The following is a 22,153-nucleotide window of genomic DNA, read 5'->3' on the forward strand; positions in this document are numbered from 1 at the left end:
AGGGGGACTGTCACCTAAGCCAAGTTATCGTGGACAACAGCAAGGACCTAGGACCTCAGCTCAGGCACAGGCAGGCTCACGGAGGGTTGCGCGGCGGGTTCTCGCTGTGGGCCCCCCGAGTCCCTCACCAGCCCGGCCCTGGAAAATCGGGGGTCCCCAGAGCACCGCCAGAGTGAAAACTCACCTGCGGCGGCCCAAGCTCCTCGGGAAACCGCCCAACGCCAGGCACAGGGGATTGGCGGAGTGGAGATCCCGGCAGCGAGGAAGGAGGGCCTGACCCAGTCCAGCCCACTTTGCTCTCCGCTCACGGCCCCAGTACTGCCCAGTTCAATCGTCAACACCACCTGCCGGCGCGGCTCCTGCTCGCCGAGAATTTGAAGACAAACCCGCCAGGGTCACTTCCGGTGCCGGGGACGACCTCGGCGACTCTGGCGCACGCGGGGCGTCGCCCCGGGAGCGAGGTCGCTGGGCGGGAGCGGCGGAAGAGGGTGTGGCCGGGCCCGGGGCCGCGCGTGCGCATTCTTGCACCGCCTCCTCCCGGCGGACGCAGCGGAGACCAGGGATAGTATAGACCTTGGTGTAGATGGTATTATGGTACTACCTCGCGCGCCTCTGTACCTTGTTCAGGTGCTTGCTCACTTTCCCTCCCACTTGATTTTCACCACACTCACACACACACCGAGGTCAGGTGTCTATTTTAGAGGTGAATGTCCAGGATCAAGCAATTCGTTTATGACAAATCCTGTTTTAGAACCTAGTATTCAGAATTCCCCAGCTGGGCTCCATGTCATGACATAACAATAGGGAGGAGGTAAACAAAGATTCTCGGACACACTGCTAGTGGGATTTTATTTTCTTGATTTTTTAATCACCGTTTTAATATGACCAGACAAGGAAAATGATGCTATTTCATGACTTACAGATATGTACTGCACAGGGCTTCCTCCAGTCTCAATCTCCACCCTCTGCCATCACTTGAGGCAGAATAGGGCACTTCTCACACATTCCTTTAAAAACGCAAGGTAATTAAGTTTCTAACATTAAAGCATCCCGACTGGGCACAGTGGCTCATCCCTGTAATCCCAGCACTTTGGGAGGCTGAGGCGGGAGAATAGCTTGAGCCGGGAGTTCAAGACCAGCCTGGGCAATATAGTGAGACCCCCCGTCTCTACAAAAAGTACAAAAATTGGCTGGACATGGTGGCGCACGCCTGTAGTCACAACTACTCAGGAGGCTGACACAAGAGGATCACTTGAGCCCAGGAGTTGGAGGCTGCAGTGGGCCATGATGGCGCCATTGCACTCCAGTCTGGGAGACAAAGTGAGGCCCTATCTCTAAAAAAATAAAAGCACCCCAGTCATCTAACATAGACATGTAGAAGCAATTCAGGGGAAATACATCCATTCAGTCAACAAATGTTTACTCAGCAACTACTATGTGTGAGACAGTGTTGGCACTGGGTATACAGTGGTCACGAAATAGAATGTTTCATGGGGCTTAAAGTCTTGTAACGTCTCAACTGAGTGGAAAATGATAGTTTCACTGTAGTAAATATGAACTCTATTGTAATAGGGAACAGGAAACTATATTTAGTATATATTTTTGGAATCAAAACCAATTCAGGGAGGTACAGATTAATTACCCTAATTCAACCTTCATCCTTTATGTGAGTTCAAAGGTATGCTAATTTATAAAGCCAATTTACAGTTAAAAAACTTCTCAAAGGCCACAAAATTAATACATATTGTATGATTCCATTGATAAGAAATTCTAGGCCAGGCACGGTGGCTCATACCTGTAATCCCAGCACTTTGGGAGGCCGAGACGGGTGGGTCACTTGAGGTCAAGGCGTTTGAGACCAGCCTGGCCAACATGGTGAAACCCCGTCTCTACTAAAAATACAAATATTAGCTGGGTCTGGTGGCGCACACCTGTAATCTCAGCTACTTGGGTGGCTGAGGCACGAGAATCGCTTGAACCCAGGAGGCAGAGGCTGCAGTGAGCCAAGATCGCGCCATTGCACTCCAGCCTGGGTGACAGAGCAAGACTCTGTCTCAAAAAAAAAAAAAAGAAAAAGAAAAGAAATTTTAGAACAGGCAAAACTAATCTATAATAATAGCTGATCAGTGGTTGGCTGCCTGAGGCTGTATTCAGGAGGAGGGGGAGAAGAAATAGATTGCTGAAAGTCCCCAGGAAATATTTAAGGTGATGGAAAGGAAATGTTCTGTTAGGGTAGTGCTTACACAGGTGTAAACATTTATTAAAATTCATCAACAGTACACAAACTGGGCACATTTTATTACGTGTACGTACGCGTATTATATATGAAGATTTTTTGGGTTTTTGTTGTTGTTTTGAGACAGAGTGTAGCTCTGTCGCCCAAGCTGGAGTGTAGTGGTGCGATCTCGGCTCACTGCAACCTCCACCTCCCAGGTTGAAGCCTCACCCTCCCCGAGTAGCTGGGATTACAGGTGCCCGCCACCATGCCCAGCTAATTTTTGTATTTTTAGTAGAGACGGGGTTTCACTGTGTTGGCCAGTCTGGTCACGAACTCCTGACCTCATGATCTGCCCGCCTCAGCCTCCCAAAGTGCTGGGATTACAAGTGTGAGCCACCGCTCCTGGCTGAAGACTTTTTTTAGGTGGAAAGACAAACCTCCAGAGAGTGGCTTACATTCACTACTTCCATTTCTTTACTAGCTGTACTAGTCAGGCAGGAGTGGGTTATGCTGTAGCAACCTCTAAGTCACAGAGGCTTCAACAATAGCATTTTTTTCTTATCTACTTTTTATGTTCATAGCTTGAGTGGATGCAGGCAGTGGGACCCTTGGCAGTGAAAAAAAGAAAGGGAAATAAATTGCACAGCCTCTGCCTGGATGTGAAACTTGCTGCTCTGCCTACATATTTTTGGCCAGAGCAAGTCACTGGTCAAGCCTGACTTCAAAGAAATGCAGGTGTTCATCTCTGCATTGTGCCTTGAAGAAGCAGAATATTTGTGTACCACTCTCATGACTAGGAGTCATTTCTTCTTTTACAGTGTGGCTTCTACAACCACCACCCTTCTAAAATGATTGTATCCAAACTGTGACTCAGAAAATCTGAGATTATATTTTCCTGGTGAATGGTCAGGTTAATTTGGCAGAATCACAGGACACACAAAAACAAGTTAGGGGAAAAGAGGTAGAAAGATAGGTGCCAGCTAAAGAGTTAAACTTTATTCAGTAGACAAAAGGGGACCCATTGAAAGGTGTCAAATGAAGACATAAGTTATATAGCAAATAGGAGGATTAATTTGACAGCTAAACGTAGGAAGTTTTGGAGGGGAGAGAGAATAGATTGGGGGACTGTTGCAAGAGGTACTGTGACCCCTGGAATTACACAGAAGGTGAATGGCCATGAAGACCTTCTTCACATTATATATTTGTTTCTCTTGCCCCAGTGAGTAAACTTAATGAAGTCAGATACTTTGTCCATTTGAGTAGAGCAATGTCTGGCATATTGTAGGTGTTAATTAGATATTTGTAGAATAAATAAAATAATTTCAAAGAATTTGAGGGCCAAGTGTGGTGGCTCACGCCTGTAATCGCAGCACTTTGGGAAGCCAAGGCAGGAGGATCACCTGAGGTCAGGAGTTTGAGACCAGCCTGGCCAAAATGTCAAAACCCCATCTCTACTAAAAACACATAAATTAGTGGGTGTGCTGGTGGGCGCCTGTAGTCCCAGCTACTCGGGAGGCTGAGGCAGGAGAATCACTTGAACCCAGAAGTGGAGGTTGCCGTGAGCAGAGATTGCACCACTGCACTCCAGCCTGGGCAACAGAGCAAGACTCTGTCTCAAAAAATAAATACATAAAAGAATTTGAGACACTTTTTACATTTCATGAGAGAAATTGGAAAGGACTTTTAGGGCCAGTTTATTAACTTCACTCACGTGGTTGATGCATCTGGCATTCCTCTTCTATACTTCAAACATTTGAGCCATCTCCTGGGATACAGTATGTATAAGGCTAGAAAAATCTAACCATAAGTAAGATTTACTGAATTTTTAGATTATGTCACACCATAGCTGCAGTAACAGACTGGGACAGATTCACCAGTGTTCTTCACTAACCTTATACACATTCTTCCTAAACAACAGCTTCCATCACTGATCTGCTAATACCAGGCTGTTGAATGCTACGAAGAAAATCACATCTCTGTGAAGATTGATGCGCCATAATTTCATGTCTTTCTAACCCAGCCGAAACATTTTTCTGCCTGTCTCACTTCAGTTATGTCTCACTCTTCCCATTAGTTCAGACTTTCATTTTTTGAAACAGGGTCTTGCTCTGTCCCCCAGGCTGGAGTGCAGTGGCAGGATCTCGGCTCACCGCAGCCTTGACCCACTAGGCTCAAGCCATCGTCCTGTCTCAGCCTCCTGAGTAGCTAGAACTACGGGCACATGACACCAAGCCCAGAAAATTTTTAAATTTTTTGTAGAGACAAGGTCTCACCATGTTGGCCCAGGCTGGTCTCGAACTCCTGGGTTCAGATGATCTTCCCACTGCAGCCTCCCAAAGTGCTGGGATTACAGACGTGAGCCAGTGCACCCAACCTATTTCAGACTTTTACCCCAGAAAGGCAGCTACCCAGCCCTTTCTGCCCTTTCAGTGAATTACTATGCCTCCAACCTCAAAGAAATAGAAGCTATCAGAAATTCTCTCAACTTGGGCCAGGCACGGTGGTTCAGGCCTGTAATCCCAGCACTTTGGGAGGCCGAGGTGGGTGGATCACCTGAGGTCAGGAGTTCAAGACCAGGCTGTCCAACATGGTGAAACCCTATCTCTACTAAAAATACAAAAATTAGCTGGGCATGGTGGCACGTGCCTATAATCCCAGCTACTTGGGAGGCTGAGGGAGGCGAATTGCTTGAACCCAGGAGGCAGAGCTTTCAGTGAACCGAGATCACACCACTGCACTCCAGCCTGGGCAACACAGCAAGACCCTGTCTCAAAAAATAATAATTAAAAAAAAAAAGAAATTCTCTCAGCTTGCTCACTGCGGCAGAGACTGGATGCCAAATACCCATTCTCATAACAGAACCTGGTTGATAAAATCAGACCACCTGGAATAAGGACTATTTCCCAGACACTCTTGCTGCTAGATGTGACCATGGATCTAACTTCTGGCAGTGAAAGTGTTGTGTAGAACTTTTAGGAAGGCATCTTTAAAAGGAGAAGCCATAGAAATCTCCCTCCACCCCTCCCCCTCTCTTTTCACCAGGTGAGAACAAGGAAAAGAAGGCTGGGCGCAGTGGCTCACATCTGTAATCCCAACACTTTGGAAGGCTGAGGTGGGTGGATTGCTTGAGCCCAGGAGTTTGAGACCAGCCTGGGCAATATGATAAAAACCTCATTTCTACTAAAAACACAAAAATTAGCTGGACGTGGTGGCGGGCACCTGTAATCCCAGCTACTCTGGAGGCTGAGGCACAAGAATTGCTTGAATCTGGGAGGCGGAGGTTGCAGTGAGCCATCGTGCCGCTGCACTCCAGCCTGGGAGACAGAGCAAGACGCAATATAAAAAAAAAAACCCGAAAAACAAAGAAACAAACAAACAAAAAAACCACACACACCCAAGGTGTAGAGAACATAAGCAGCCAACTACTAACCAGAGCAAACTTTAGGTTGACAAGGACAGCAGAATTGAACAGATGAAGTGTGGGCTGACTTTGTGGAGCTGCCATACCAGAAGTGGACTGCCAACTTCAGACATTATATGTCTAAGGTATGGCTGTTTTGGGTTTTATGTGCAGCTGAGCTTAACCTAAATTAATACTCTTACCCTCCAACTTACAAACTTCTTTGCCTCACATCTGCCTTTTGGTTTTTGCCTCACGTCCCAATGAATGTGTATCTTCCTTTGTCTAAATCCAGTTCTTCCACTTGGACTTAAAGTTTTGAGTTGTTTTTTTAATTCCATTTTATGTTATATATTTGGATAGGCAATGCATTCACATGATGCAAAATCAAATGATATAAAGGGTTATATAGTGAGAAGTATTTCTACGATTCTTGTCACCCTACAAATCCATTTTACCATTCCCAGAGGCAATTGAAGATACCAAATTCAGGGCTGGGCGTGGTGGCTCACGCCTGTAATCCCCAGCACTTTGGGAGGCCCAGGCAGGTGGATCACCTAAGGTCAGGAGTTTGAGACCAGCCTGGCCAACATGGTGAAACCCCGTCTCTACTAAAAAATATAAAAATTAACCAGGGGTGGTGGTGGACACCTGTAATCCCAGATACTTGGGAGGCTGAGGAAGGAGAATCACTTGAACCCAGGAGGTGGAGGTTGCAGTGAGCCAAGATCACACCATTGCACTCCAGCCTGGGCAACAAAGTGAGACTCTGTCTCAAAAAAAAAGGATACCAAATTCATTCATTACCTTTCAGAGATATTATTTTAGTATGCACTCGATTGGAAGAAATGGTGGCTGAACATAAAAAAGAATGAGTTAATGTCCTTTGCAGGGACATGGATGAAGCTGGAAGCCATCATTCTTAGCAAACTAACACAGGAACAGAAAACCAAACACCGCATGTTCTCACTCACAAGTAGGAATTGAATAATGAGAACACGGGGGCACAGGAAGGGGAACATCACACACCGGGGCCTGTCAGCGGGTGGAGGGCTAGGGGAGGGATAGCATTAGGAGAAATACCTAATGTAGATGACGAGTTGATGGGTGCAGCAAACTACCACGGTACATGTATACCTATGTAACAAACCTGCACGTTCTGCACATGTATCCCAGAACTTAAGTATAATTAAAAAAAGGATGGAAAAAAAAAGAAGAAAGAAATGGTGGCTAAAAAAAATCTTGCATTAATGAAAACCATTGCTTCACAGATTTAAGAAGCTCAATGAACCCCAAGCACAAGAAAAATAAACAAAATGACACCAGGCACATCGTAATTAAATTGCTTAACATGGGCGACAGAAAACCCTTAAAAGTGAATATTGGTTCAAATATCACAGACTCTCAAAACTCACACCAAATTTTAGTAGATTTTCTTGAGTAATCTTCCCTCCCCTCCCTTCTCCTCCTCTCTGCTCACTTCTCTTCTCCTTTTGGAGTCTCTGTCTGTCTCCCAGGCTGGAGTGCAGTGGTGATCTCGGCTCACTGCAACCTCTGCCTCCGGGATTCAAGTGATTCTCCTGCCTCAGCCTCCTGAGTAGCTAGGACTACAGGCATGCACCACCACACCTGCTAATTTTTGTATTTTTAGTAGAGACGGGGTTTCACCATGTTGGCCAGCCTGATCTCAAACTCCTGACCTCAAGTGATCTGCCTACCTCAGCCTCCCAAAGTGTTGGGATTACAGGCGTGAGCCACCGCACCCAGCCTTCCCTACATATTTGATTCATGATTCAGCCAAAGATTTGGGCCTTTCTCAGGCAAGATGTCATAAAAACAGAATACTCATCTAGTGCCCTTCCTCTCTTCCAAGGATCAGCTCCGTTCCAGAATTTGCCTGGTTTTGTTCCATTCCAATATCTTTGGGTAGTTGGGTATTTTCCCCCAGACTTTATAGTTGTTAGCTGTCATACAGTAAATCCATTAGGATCTGATTGGTTGTACTAGAAGCAGAATCTGGAATTACCTTTTACGGTCATTTTGGTTGACAGGTTGGATAATAAACTTGAGGTACCAGAATAAAGTAAGACTCGTGTTAGAAAATTATTACATTAATTCAGGCTGATGAGGACCTTAACCAAATTAGTTAACAACGAGAATAAAGATGATGAATTAGAGAAAAACCTAAGAGGTAAAATAACTGAATTTTATGGTTGAGTCCATAGGAGATGGCCAAAGTACAAAATGACTTTGTTAAATTGTTCTGCAAATCAGATTATACACTAATACAAATTGCATGCTGTATTACTTAAGGTATAGGCTCAGCAGCAGTAACAAATGGATATTATAGATATAATTTGATTTTTCTCCCCTCTCTCACATTCTGCAGTCAGTCCAGAGTAGAAAGATGACCCTGCTTCACACAGTCTCTCAGGTAATCAGATTGTATTCATTTGGTTGATTCACCATCACTAGAGTGTTTGTTTTTTGTTTTTTTTTTGAGATGGAGTCTCGCCCTGTTGCCCAGGCTGGAGTGTAGTGGCGTGATCTAGGCTCATTGCAACCTCCGCCTCCTGGGTTCAAGCGATTCTCCTGCCTCAGCCTCCAGAGTAGCTGGGACTACAGGCGTTCGCCACTACGCCCAGCTAATTTTTGTATTTTTAGTAGAGACGGGTTTCACCATGTTAGTTGGCCAGGATGGTCTCAATCTCTTGACCTCGTGATCCGCCCGCCTTGGCCTCCCAAAGTGCTGGGATTACAGGCGTGAGCCACTGCACCCAGCCACTAGAGTGTTTTTCTAATTTTCATGGTCAATATAAAGTCACCACTATGTACGTGTTCCATCCTGTGGGAAGAGGTAAAAAGCAAGTGGTGGGCAAGCAATGTCAACTTTAATTATATGTATAATTTGCACATACCACGTCTGCTCATGTCCCAATGGCCAAAACCTAGTCATGTGCCCAAAACTAATTACAAGGGAATAGGAGAAACATGGACTCTACTGGGGTAGTCAAAACTTAGAAAGGGATATTGGCTCTATTAGTAAAAGGAAAAATGGGAGAGTGGATACTGGGGAGCAAGAGTGGCCTCTGTCATTTGTCAACCCCTCTGTGAACTAGGTATTCATGAGAGTCTTTTTTTTCTCCTGCAGAACAAATTTAACCCTTCCTCAAGGGAAACAACCCAAAGTTCCATTCATAGCCTAAATCCAGCAAAATGTTTGGAATCTCTGGGTAGCTCCGTTACTGAAAGAAAGGAGGAAAAACTGGACAATAACTGTCTGTTTGGCAACCTCCCTCTACTCTTCACATACACAAGCAGATGTGCACGCGTGTGTGTGTGTGTAGCAAAGTATAGTCACAATTTTAAGTACACCAAATGTGGGCCCACAATGTAGCACAATAAATCATAGGAATAATGCAATTTGTGTCAGCTGTACAACAGCCTTATGTAGAACAAATACAAACTTACAAGGGAGTGCAAACAAGAGGATAAAAGAAGATCTAATGATGGTAAAGCTTGAAAAGAGGATGAAAAACAGTACTTGTTTATCCATATAAAGTTGATATAAGATATAATATCAACATATATATTTTGACACTGGTTCAGGTCTGTAATCCCAATACTTCGGGAGGCAGAGGCGGGAGGATCGCTTGCATCCAGGAGTTTGAGATCAGACTGGGCAACTTAGCAAGACTCCATCTCTACAAATATAAAAATAAAAAATTAGTTGCGTGTGGTGGCACACTCCTGTAGTCCTAGCTACTTGGGAGACAAAAGCAGGAGGACAGCTTGAGCCCAGAGTTCGAGGTTAAAGTGAGCTTTGATCTTGCCACTGCACTCCAGCCTGGGTGACAGAGCAAGACCATCTCTAAGAAATAAAACAAACAAAAAGGATTATAAAGGAAAACAGACTAACCAACAATTTTACATTTAAAAAATTATATACCATAATCAAATGGTACTGAATGTAGAACTTAATCATTAAATTCTAAACCTGTAATCTAATGGAAGCCTTTAACAGGAAATATTGTACTTATATTGGACAAAATGAAAACATTTAAATGAAAACATTTGACATTTACATGATACTCAGTTTGCCTTAACCTAAGTACTATCATTAGTTATTTTAATTCCAAAGCATCAAAATTTTAATCATAACTTTCTCAGAGAATAAAAAGATTTACATAAATTTTTGAATCAGAAAACAACATAGTTAAGCAGTGTAAAAATTAGCTTTCCACACATAATTGAAAGATTTGAATTTTTTTTATTATCCCAGCAAACATTACACTAGAGAAAATGATTGGGAAAATACAAATAAGTTCATTAAAAACACAGGCTGATTATTCATATCTATTACATTCAGAATTATGCGAAACAATTAGTTATATTGCAAAGCTGTAATTCTTTTTCTAACAAAGCATGATTTTATAAAACTTTAATGTTGCCACTGATTCAATTTTAATACAAAATACTTATATACACAATACAATATAAAAGTAAACTGTGTAGTGCCTTCCACAAAGGGATATATTAAGGCGCTTTACAAATATACCAATATTTTGACCCAAATTACTTTTTGCTTTAGATTAAAATGAACAGGCTAAATGTTCCACTTTAAATACCAAAGGGATGTTTATTAAAAATTTTTTATCTAAAATACCTTGGGTAACAGCAGCAGCAATGTCTAAAAATCCTCCCACTGTATTCTCTAATTTCTAACACATTAAGTCAGAATAAAACAATTCCACTCACAGTTTTGCACTTTGCAACAGCAGAAGGTAATAACTTTTTAAAAAAGTCAATCTCAAAGTGACTTTTTAGTCATACATTCTATAGTTTCTATTACAAATAAGAAGGTAGAAAAGATACAGCAGTAGGGCCTGCCTTATGATGTCACTGGACAATGCATAACAGTATCTACAATTACATAATTATAGAACACATCTTATAAATACTATTGATATGCATAAAAAGGGTAAGTATAATAAAGACAGCAAGTTTTTAATAAGAAAATTATTTTAAAAGAAAACATATAGAACCAATGTTTTCACTCCATTTCAATGGAAAGCATCTATATTTTTAACATTGTTTTTCTCATCTTTTTGGTCAGGAAGCACCAGATTCTATACTGGAAGAAGTAGATGTAGTTTTGGAATAAGATAGCTGATAAGTATATCCAAACTGTTAAAATTGCTGATACCAAAGGCATGTATACTGCTTCAGATAAATGCAAAAAGCTTATAGTATCAGAGGAAATTTTAAAAGAATACATATTTGCGCCAGGCGCGGTGGGTCACGTCTGTAATCCCAGCACTTTGGGAGGCTGAGGTGGGCATATAACTGGAGCCCAGGAATTCCACACCAACCTGGGCAACATGGCGAAACCCCATCTCTACTAAAGATACAAAAATTAGCTGGGCTTGGTGGCGCATGCCCAGCTACTTGGGAGGCTGAGGCGGGAGGACTGCGTGAGCCCCCAAGGTTGAGGATGCAGTGAGCTGTGAAGCGCCACTGCCCTCCAGCCTGGGTGACAGAGTGAGACCCTGTCTCAAAACAAAAAACAAAAAAAGAATACAAAATTTGTAGTGTCTGTTACATTTCAGCAATAGGGGGAATACAGATTTTGTGGGAAGGGAAGGGGGAGGAGACAGCACCTTAGTTTTCCTACAACATAAATGTAACAAAGTTATCTTCTACTGTATTGCACCTTAGTCCAAAAGTAAAACAACTAAATGAAAATTTAAATAAATCAGACTGAAAAAGCCCAAAGAGTAAGAGGAATACCTTATAAATGTGACTACCCACCTAAAAATTCTTGAACTACTTTGTTTTGCATAGGATTTTATGGGACTAACCAAATGTTCCATGAACCATGAGGTGAAGACTGCGATTTCATGATAGCACATTGTTTTACAATTCTGATTAGAAATCCTTCAGAAATATTTCTGTATCAAGCTTGTAATGAGCCTAACATTTCAGTCCCCTCCAAATGATATATTAAAACAACTTAATGTACCAGCAAGAGAGGCATTCATAAGGTCACCTTATATCACATGCTACAGACCTTTTCCATCACAAATTATCAGCTTATATAAGATGTGCTGAGTAGTGATTGGTAAGTTAAAAACAAAGTTCTTAGTTTAATGTATCAATTTTCTCATGGCACAGAGGTCCATAACCTACAGCCTGTGATAGGTTTCAATATGTCCAAAATCCCTTGAAACTGCATGCAACATTGTATGTGTATGTGTGGTTTTTTTTTCTAGGAAGAGTCCACAGCTTCCTTCAGATTCTCAAAAGAACCACTAACCCCAAAAGACGCACGATAACACAGTAGTGGGTTTTCAGGCTGAGCTCTGAAAGGACCACCTGTAGAAAGGTGGGAAGTGTGGGCTAATAAGTGTTCTTTGCCCTAACTCTCCAATTCAACTGCAACAGCTCTGCCTTTAATTTTACTACATATACGGTTTCAATTAGCTTTTATGCGAAGAAAGCTAAAAGTATGAAAATCACTAAAATTATGCCTCCAATCTACAAATAGTAACTTTTGATAAAAACAATCCCTTATCAGTGGAGCTTAAGAAAAGGAAATAAAACACAACACAAATTTTACTATGGTCAAAATGGAGCCTTTTTCCCCTTCCTAAAAGATAAGCTACATGTATTTTGGTATGAAACCTTAATCTTCCTTAGAACCTAAGCGTTATACATAACAGGCATGTTGAACGCATTATTGAACCTTAAATAAATTAGGAGGACTTGAATTTTCTACTAAGACCACTCTGTAAACTTTCCTAATTATTAATGGCCATCTTAAGAGTTAATTTTTTCACCAATTAATCTGCGCTTAGGTAAAATATTGCCAGATAGCCAGATTTTCCTTTGCCAATAACAATCTGTATATGCAGCACTGTTCTGAAAGAGGAAACAGGTAACATTGATGATATAATCAAAATAGTTACTATACAGGAAAAGTATATGAAAATTAAAATAATTATCTGCTTAGGATGGTGAGAAATATTTTAGCTTTTAGTATTGAACATTTCGATTTATGGCAGCTTTGTTCCCTTTTAAAATTGGAAGCAGCATCAAAAATACCAATATGGAAAAAAAGCTAGTAGTGCTTTGGCTTCTTTTAAAGCCAGTAATTCTTGAGAAATAAATGCAAGAAGATTAAATAGATTAAATATTCCATGGGGCGGGGGGTGGGGGGGAAGATAAATGCATTATTTTTCCTTCTGACAAACATATTAATATTTTTTCAACCCTGTATTCCTTAGTTTCAGGATGTGAATTATACAGATTATCATTAGCCTAGGAACACTCACCAACACGATGGCTTAATTTCTCTAGCTTATTTTCTACCAAAAACAAGGTTATGAGGGGAAAAAAGAGCTCTGTAAAATAGGGGGTATGTTTCATATTTGGTTAAAGCAAGATAAAACTAAAACTGTCTTTCAAAAAAATTTCAAAAACTCTTGTATTTTAAAATTATTTAGCATATATACAAATAGATACCAGGTTTCTCCTTTTAAACAAAGCACTACTTATTTTAAGTACTTTAAGTACCAAGAACTGACTATAATATTCAGTTCATAATTTACTTTCCTTATAACAATTTTTTTCTAAATACTGATTTAAACGGCTGGAATAAATTAACATTTTAAAAGGATTTCCCATAATTTAGGAAAATAAAATATTGTACACAGAGCACACATATATAGCTCTGTCATATTTGCATAATTTTACTCTCAGAACCTCAAAACACCTCGCATTTCAGGCCCTTTTACAAATCCTCATTACATTTATTTACTAGTGTGTTAAACATATACTAGATCGCGATTTTTAATCTCTGAGCCTGTGTTTTGATCATCTTCATCCGACTGCTGCTCTGAGCCTTGTGAATTAATGTATTCATATTCAATAGGCTTCGGATAATTATATGGGTAGCCATTGTCATCAAAAAACCTTCGGAAGGTAAATTCATAGAATGCATGTTCAGGATGCTTTCCATTTTTATACCATCCATTGAGAGTGTCATTTACATTTTCTTCCTCGTTATCATCACTCCATAATTTATCAGGATCAACAGGATCAAAATTTGATGTATCTGTTGGGTGTGTGATTTTAGGAATGTATGAAGCAGACTGCTGTCTCAGGTCACTGGAGAAGTCAATTGTTTTAAAAAATGGATGAGCTTTTATTTCATCAGCACCATTCTTGCCTAAGCGATCTTCGGGTCCTCGGCAAAGTTTAATAATAAGATCAGAAGCTTCAGGACTGAGTTTAGCTTGTGGTGGAATGTGAAGAGATGTTTGCCAGTTGATAACCTTTAAAGATTTTTTAAAATTAGGGGGAAGAGATAAATTAGAAAAATAAAGATTTCCTTCAAGTTTTATACCAAAAGTCTCACTGGGCTATTTTTGTATTTTAAATAAATTACATGATATTTTGCTGGAAAATAATTTTTTCTCCTATCCCATCCTCTCCAAGCAACTTCTACTCACATTATAAGACTCACTGTCAGTTTTAATCTCCCCTAGTAAACCTTTTGGCCTATGGTAGAAGTGACTACTTCTACTCTGCCTCCCCTGTACCATATATTTATTTCTATCATATTTCTAATAGCTTGTGGTACCTATTTATGTTTATGTCCTACTGAAATATATCCATTAAGGCTAGGGATTATGTTTTAGTGGTCTTTGTATCTCCTAGTGCTCAGTAAATTGCCTGGCACATACTTAATACATGTTTGATAAAACTTTTTCTGGTGCCAAGCGTGGTGGCTTTTGCCTGTAATCCCAGCACCCTGGGAGGCGGAGGTGGGAGGACTGCTTGAAGCCGGGAAGGTTCAAGACAAACCTGGGCAACAAAGCGAGACCCCCTCTCTACAAAAAAACTTTAAAAATTAGCCAGGTATGGTGGCATGCATCTGTAGTCCTAGCTACTCAGGAGGTTGAAGCAGAAGGATTCCTGGAGCCCAGGAGTTTGAGGCTGCAGTGAGCCATGACTGCACCACTGCACTCCAGCCTGTGTGACAGAGCGAGACACTGTCTCCAAAAAAAAAAAAAAAAAAAAAGAAAAATCTCTGGTTATGAATAAAATGAAATGATGAAGAAAGGAATGCCAAGTGAAGCCAGACTACCTAAGACTACCTAGTCTCTCCCGCTGAACTCTTGGAGGCAGGGGAATTGGTATACAACTCCAAGTACGATATTAAATGGATTTGGGGCAAACTCTGTTAAGTGGTAGAATGCATTGTCATTTAACCAAGTTTAGATACCTTTAACTTGGGCAGGCACTGTGGCTCACACCTGTAATCCTAGCACTTTGGGAGGCCGAGGTAGATGAATTGCTTGAGCCCAGAAGTTCAAGACCAGCCTGGGCAACATGGTGAAACCCCATATCTACAAAAAATACAAAAGTTAGCCAGGTTGGTGGTGTACACCTGTGGTCCCAGCTACTTGAGGTGGGAGGATGACCTGAGCCCAGGGAGGTCGAGGCTAGAGTGAGCCGTGATTGTGCCACTGCACTCCAGCCTGGGCGACAGAGCAAGACCCTGTCTCAAAAGAGGGAAAAAAAATCTTCAACTTGTTGCATGGTAGGCAGTCAATAAATATTTTTTAAAAAGCTGAATAAATGAACAGTATAATCTTCCTTATTTGTAGAGGAGCTAGTCAGCTACTATAGAGGGAAGAAAAATATACTCCCTCGTCTATTATTTGTTCCTTTTAAAGTCTTATCCCAGATTAGAAAATGGAGAGGCTTCAACTAATAATAGAATATTTTAAAAACCCTTTTTGGAAAAAAAAAATGATACAGTTAATAATAGTTATTTATGCTTCCAGTTTCATCACTTATTTCAAACAGGAGAAATAAAAAATATACACAATGAGATGAACAATTTTTTTTTTTTTTTGAAACAGTCTTGCTCTGTCGCCCAGGATGGAGTGCAGTGGCGTGATCTCGGCTCATTGCAACCTCTGCCTCCTGGTTTCAAGCGATTCTCCTGCCTCAGCCTCCTGAGTAGCTGGGATTACAGGTGCCCGCCACCTCGCACAGCTAATTTTTTTGTATTTTTAGTAGAGACGGGGTTTCACCATGTTGGCCTGGCTGGTTTCAAACTCCTGACCTCAAGTGATCTGTCCACCTTGGCCTCCTAAAGTGCTATAATTACAGGCGTGAGTCACTGTGCCTGGCCAAGTTTAATATTTTTTATTTTAAGGTATATTTAGGATTTTTCAGTTTAAGGCAAAAAAAAAAAAAAGAGCACAGCAAAAGATTCAGATAATTCAAAGATGGATGAATAAAATTATATAAACTGAAGCACAGAGAGAAAACATGTAGAATAAAAGAAAGAATAAAGCATAAGAGAAATGGAGGACAGTATCAAAGGAATAGCACATGTATAATCATTAGAGTCTCAAAAGGTAAGAAAGCAAAATAAATCTTTGAAGGGATAATGACAGAGAATTTCCCCAAATCGATGAAAGTCATTAATGTACATTTCAAGAAACTGAGTGAATCTCAACCAAGAAAAATACAAAGAAAACTACACATAGGCACACCATGGTCAAACTGAAGAAAACCAAAGTTAAAGAGAAGAAAACCCTAAAAGCAACCAGAGAGGTCCCAGTTTTGAGGAAGATGTACTACATATACTCTCCTGTCTCCCTCCCACAGAAGGCAGCTATAAAACCTGGTCAGGATGCAGGAAGCAGCTACTTCAAGATCCTGAAAAGTAAATAATAACAGGTAGATTAGGGGAGAAGATGTAAATTTGAAGTACCATTAAACCTGGTGACCATTTAAAAAAAATTATTTTTTTAAAAAATTAATTCTCACTATGTTGTCCACGCTGGTCTTGAACTCCTAGCCTCAAGCAATCCTCCCACCTCAGCCTCCCGAGTAACTGGGACTACAGGCCTCTGCCAGCACACCCAGCTCCATTTTTTTGTCTCTAGTAGTCTGCAGGCTGGACTCAAGGTAGCCCAAAACTTGGAAGAAGCTGAGCACAGAGAGCTCTAGGAGAATTCCCTCTAGTTCAGGCTCAGGGAGTAGAAAAGGAGTTTCCTGGTAGCAACGGAGGTGGCAATAAGAGCCAGTATGCACCTAAAACTGACAGCCAAACCTTCCTCTCCAATTGTAAATAAAATAACAAAGCATGGGGCTGGGTGCAGTGGCTCATCACGCCTGTAATCCCAGCACTTTGGGAGGCCGAGGCGGGTGGATCACTTGAGGTCAGGAGTTCGAGACCAGCTTGGCCAAAATGGTGAAGCCCCGTCTCTATTAAAATACAAAAATTAGTGGGGTGTGGTGGTGCATACCTGTAATCCCAGCTACTCCGGGAGGCTGAGGCAGGAGAATCACTTGAACCCAGGTGGCAGAGGTTGCAGTGAGCCAAGATTGTGCCACTGCACTCCAGCCTGGGTGACAGAGTGAGACAATATCTCATAAATATATAAATTAATAAAGCATGGGGTCCCAAGAAGATGGGTTGAATCTCTGTTGCTCGTTTTCTCTCTGTGTCCTTTTGCCACCTTGTCCTGGATTCAGATGCAGTTATGAGATATTGGCAGAGTTGGATAAGTAAAGCCTCACTTTCTGGTCAGAGAACTAAATAGGGAGCCCCAGGGAACAGGAAAGTACTGGGGACATCACAGAGAGGGAGGAGATTGGGCAAGTGACCCCATTAAGTTGCTTATGAACTGCTGGGCTCCCCCTCCAAACTGTAACTATGTGGATCTAATCCTAAGGAGCATACCAAAGACTTTGAGAACTGAACTAAGGAAAAGACCACAGCCTACAAAGAGATCTATCTGCCTAGAAAGGAAAAGCCTTTGAAACTGACATTGAAATCAAAAAAGACTGGTTGGAACTTGTGGCCTGAACCCAACCGGGTTTAATGCTTGTCAAAACAAGGTCAAAATTCTCCATAAGATCCAGAATCTTGGCTGGGCACGGTGGCTCACGCTGTAATCCCAGCACTTTGGGAGGCCAAGGTAGGCAGATCACCTGAGGTCAGGAGTTTGAGACCAGCCTGGCCAACATAGTGAAACCCCGTCTCTACTAAAAATACAAAAATTAGCTGGGCATGGTAGCACACGCCTGTAGTCCTAGCTACCTGGGAGGCTGAGGCAGGACAGTCGCTTGAACCTGGGTGGTGTAGTGAGCCGAGATCGCACCACTGCACTCACTCCAGCCTGGGTGACAGAGAGAGACTCCGTCTCCAAAAAAAAAAAAAAAAAAAAAATCCAGAGTCTCATAACATATTATTCAAAATGTCCAGGATACAATCCAAAATAACTTAGTATACAAAACAAACAAACAAAAAACAAAAACAGAAAATTTCAACATAGAAAAAGTCAGTATTGATATGACATAGATGCTAGAATTTTCTGACAAAAACTTGAAAGTAGCCATTATAGGCCGGGTGCGGTGGCTCATGCCTGTAATCCCAGCACTTTGGGAGGCTGAGGCGGGCAGATCACAAGGTCAGGAGTTCGAGATCAGCCTGGCCAATGCGGTGAAACCCCGTCTCTACTAAAAACACAAAAAAATTACCCGGGTGTGGTGGCGAGCAACTGTAGTCCCAGCTACCTGGGAGGCTGAGGCGGAACAATTGCTTGAACCCGGGAGGCGGTGGCGGAGGCTGCAGTGAGCCGAGATAGTGCCACTGCACCCCAGCTTGGGCAACAGGGCAAGACTCTGTCTCAAAAAAAAAAAAAAGTAGCCATTATAAAAATGCTCCAGGTTGGGCATGGTGGCTCACGCCTGTAATCCCAGCACTTTGGGAGGCCGAGGTGGGCAGATCACGAGGTCAGGAGATCGAGACCATCCTGGCTAACACGGTGAAACCCCACCTCTACTAAAAATACAAAAAATTAGCCGGGCGTGGTGGTGGGCGCCTGTAGTCCCACCTACTCCCGGGAGGCTGAGGCAGGAGAATGGTGTAAACTCAGGAGGCGGAGCTTGCAGTGAGCAGAGATTGAGCCACTGCACTCCAGCCTGGGCAACAGAGTGAGACTCTGTCTCAAAAAAAAAAAAAAAAATGCTCCAAATAAGGATGAACACTCATGAAATGAAAGATAGGTCTCAGCAAAGAAATTGAAGATATAAAGTATCAAAAAGAAATTTTATAATGGAAAAATAACCAAAATAAAAAACTCAATGGATAGTCTCAATAGCAGAGTGAAGATGTCAGAGGAAAAAAAATCAGTGAACTTGAAGATAGGTTGATACTGGCTGTGCACGGTGGTGTCACTCCTGTAATGCCAGCACTTTGGGAGGCCGAGGCAGGTGGATCACTTGAGGCCAGAAGCTGGAGACCAGCCTGGCCAACATGGTGAGAACCCTGTCTTAATAAAAATACAGAAAATTAGCTGGGTGTGGTGGTGTGCCTACAGTCCCAGCGACTCAGGAGGCTGAGGTGGAAGGATCACTTGAACCAGGAGCTTGAGCTGGAGGTTGCAGTGAGCTGAAATCATGCCTCCGCACTCCAGCCTGGGCAACAAAACAAGACTGTATCTCAAAAAAAAAAAAAAAAAAAAAAAAAAAAAGGAGGTGGATACTAATTATGCAATTCAATCAACTGCTCATTCTGAACAGCAGAAAAAACAAAAACTTAAAATATAAGTAGAACTTCAGGAATCTGTGGGACCACACCAAAAGGCCTAACATTCCTGTGATTAACATCACAAAAGAAAATGTGTGGTACAGATAAATATTTGAAGACATGATGGCTGAACACACCCCAAATTTGATCAAACACATAAACCTACAGATTTAAGATGCCTGGTGAATACCAAACGGAATAAAGCCTGAGAAATCCATGCCCAGACCTATCATAATTACGATACAGAAAAAAAATTATTGAAAGCAACTAGAGAAACATAATGCATTATTTGAGAGATCTGAATAATTGCAGATGTCTCATCAAATTATGAACGACAGAAGGAAGTAGACATTTTAAAGTGCTGTAAGAACTAAAACCCAGAATTTTGTATCAAGTGATAATACATATATTTTTTGAGATGGAGTCTCGGGCTGTCGCCCCGGCTGGAGTGCAGTGGTGTCATCTTGTCTCCCTACAACCTCCGCCTCCTGGGTTCAAGCAATTCTCCTGCCTCAGCTTCCCAAGTAGCTGGGATTACAGGTGCACGCCACCAGCCCAGATAATTTTTATATTTTAGTAGAGACGGGGTTTCAACATGTTGGCCAGGCTGGTCTCAAACTCCTGACCTCAGGTGATCCACCTGCCTTGGCCTCCCAAAGTGCTGGGATTACAGGCATGAGCCACTGCGCCCGGCCTCAAGTGATAATATTCTAAGGAAGGCAAAATAAAGACATTCTCATATGAAGAGAAATTAAGAGACTCTGTTGTCAACACACTTGCTCTAAAGTATCTGCTTTAGGAAGTTGTTCAGATGGAAGAGACATGATAGAGAAGGAATCTTGAAACACCAGGAAAGCATGAAGAGCAAGGAAAACGCTAAATATCCAGGTAAACATAAATGACTATTCTTCTCATCTTGATTTTTTTTTTTTTTAAGAGACAGGGTCTCATTCTGTTGCTCAGGCTACAGCATAGTGGTATGATTATAGCTCACTACAGCCTCAAACTCCTGGGCTCAAGTGATCCTCTTGTGTCTGGAGTAGCTGGGACCACAGGCATGTGCCACCATCCACCATGCCCAGCTATTTTTTTTTTTTTTTGGTAGAGACACTGTCTATGATTTGTTACTCACGCTGGTCTTGAACTCCTGACTTCAAGCAATCCTCTTGCGTCAGCCTCCCAAAGTGCTGGGATTGCAGGCATAAGCCACTGCATTCAGCCTGTCACCTTGAGTTCTTTAAAAGAACTTGATGGTTGAAAGCAAAATTGTTACATTGTTGGATGAGGTAGGTTTTGAGACAGGGTCACATTTTGTTGCCCAGGCTGGTGTGCAGTGGTACACTCTTAGCTCTTACTGCAGCCTTGACCTCCTGGACTTAAGGGATCCTCCCACTTACTGGTGCCCCCGCCCCAAGTAGCTGGGACTGTAGGCATGTACTGCCACACACCAGCATGCTAGGCTAATTAAAAAAATTTTTTTGTAGAGACAGGGTCTTACTATGTTGCCCAAGCCGATCTCAAACTCCTGGGTTCCAGTGTTCTTCCTGCTGTGGCCTTCCAAAGCGCTGGGATTACAGGTGTGAGCCACCATACCTGGCTGGATAAGGATTGATTGATTGATTGATTGATTGAGACGGCGTCTCTCTGTTACCCAGGCTGGAGTGCAGTGGCGCCATCTCGGCTCACTTCAAGCTCTGCCTCCCAGGTTCACGCCATTCTCCTGCCTCAGCCTCCTGAGTAGCTGGCACTACAGGCACCTGCCACCACACCCAGCTAATTTTTTGTACTTTTAGTAGAGACGGGGTTTCACCGTGTTAGCCAGGATGGTCTCGATCTCCTGACCTCATGATCTACCTGCCTTGGCCTCCCAAAGTGCTGGGATTACAGGTGTGAGCCACCGTGCCTGGCTGGATGAGGTTTTAAACGTATGTAGATGTAATGTATAAAATAACTACAAGCCAGGTGCAGGCTCATGCTTGCAATCCCAACATTTTGGGAGGCCAACGTGGGAGGATTGCTTCAGCCCAGAAGTTCAAGACCAGCCTGGGCAACATAGTGACTAGTCTTGATTACAAAATAATAATAAAATTAGCCAAGCGTGATGGCATGTGCCTGTAATCCAGGCTACTTGGGAGGATGACACGGGAGAATCTTGAACCCGGGAGGCAGAGGTTGCAGTGAGCTGAGATCACGACCCTGCACTCCAGCGTGGGCGACAGAGCAAGACCTTGTCAAAAGGAAAAAAGAAGAAAAATCAAATAACTACAACATAAATAGTAGAGAATAAAGGGACCTATATGGCAGTATGGTTCTACATTGAACTTGAAGTGGTAAAGTATAAATTCTAGGTAGATAGTGAAAACTTAGGCTGGGCGTGATGGCTCATGCCTGTAATCCCAACACTTTGGGAGGCCGAGGCAGGTGGATCACTTGAGGTCAGGAGTTTGAGACCAGCCTGGCCAACACAGTGAAACCCTGTCTCTACTAAAAATACAAAAATTAGCCAGGTGTTGGGGAGGGCACCTGTAATCCCAGCTACTCAGGAGGCTGAGGCAGGAGAATCGCTTGAACCTGGGAGGTGGAGGTTGCAGTGAGATGAGGTTGTACCACTACACGCCAGCCTGGGCAACAGAGTGAAATTGCATCTCAAAAAAAAAAAAAAAAAAAAAAGAAAAGAAAAGAAAAGAAAAGAAAAGAAAACTTAATATATATTTTGTAGTCACTAGAGCAACCACAAACAAAAACCATACAAAGAGATAATAGTAAAAACCACAGTAGAAGGAGACATCACAGAAAATAGCAGAGTAGGAAGCATCAGAGGTCCACCCTTCCCTAAAAATAATTAAACTGGAAAAAGACTATCAGGATAAACTATTTTGGAACTTTGGAACCTGATCAGATACTTACAGCAGCC

At 42.3% G+C, this 22,153-nt stretch overlaps 2 protein-coding genes across 19 annotated transcripts in view, besides 2 other annotated features; both read right to left on the reverse strand.

Annotated features, from left to right (window-relative positions):
• KATNA1 (katanin catalytic subunit A1) overlaps positions 1-706 on the reverse strand; it is a 54,118-nt gene extending 53,412 nt beyond the window's left edge. For 3 of the 5 annotated variants that reach the window (NM_001204076.2, NM_007044.4, XM_017010207.3), the window contains exon 1: positions 185-430. The gene's annotated coding sequence lies outside the window, so the exon portion shown is untranslated. Of the gene's footprint in view, positions 1-184; positions 431-618 lie in introns of those variants that run through there. The other 2 variants (XM_047418111.1, XM_005266804.3) reach the window with 2 other exon arrangements.
• Positions 230-309: an enhancer, noted in NCBI's record as "active region_25266". NCBI's record gives its function as "activates an Ori minimal core promoter by ATAC-STARR-seq in GM12878 lymphoblastoid cells {active_cell/tissue: GM12878}" and the evidence as "EXISTENCE:reporter gene assay evidence [ECO:0000049][PMID:35858748]".
• Positions 380-649: a silencer, noted in NCBI's record as "silent region_17664". NCBI's record gives its function as "represses an Ori minimal core promoter by ATAC-STARR-seq in GM12878 lymphoblastoid cells {active_cell/tissue: GM12878}" and the evidence as "EXISTENCE:reporter gene assay evidence [ECO:0000049][PMID:35858748]".
• LATS1 (large tumor suppressor kinase 1) overlaps positions 9,869-22,153 on the reverse strand; it is a 59,949-nt gene continuing 47,664 nt past the window's right edge. For 5 of the 14 annotated variants that reach the window (XM_017011474.2, NM_001350339.2, XM_024446583.2 and 2 more), the window contains 2 exons: positions 20,738-20,836; positions 9,869-13,954 (listed from right to left, as the gene is read on the reverse strand). In XM_017011474.2, the coding sequence (XP_016866963.1) occupies positions 13,445-13,954; positions 20,738-20,836 (609 nt within the window). In that variant the 3' untranslated portion in view covers positions 9,869-13,444. Of the gene's footprint in view, positions 13,955-14,907; positions 16,359-20,376; positions 20,486-20,737; positions 20,837-22,153 lie in introns of those variants that run through there. The other 9 variants (NR_073033.2, NM_001350392.2, NM_004690.4 and 6 more) reach the window with 5 other exon arrangements.

The sequence above is a fragment of the Homo sapiens genome, chromosome 6 (assembly GCF_000001405.40).
Source record: "Homo sapiens chromosome 6, GRCh38.p14 Primary Assembly".
Taxonomy (NCBI): Eukaryota; Metazoa; Chordata; class Mammalia; order Primates; family Hominidae; genus Homo; species Homo sapiens.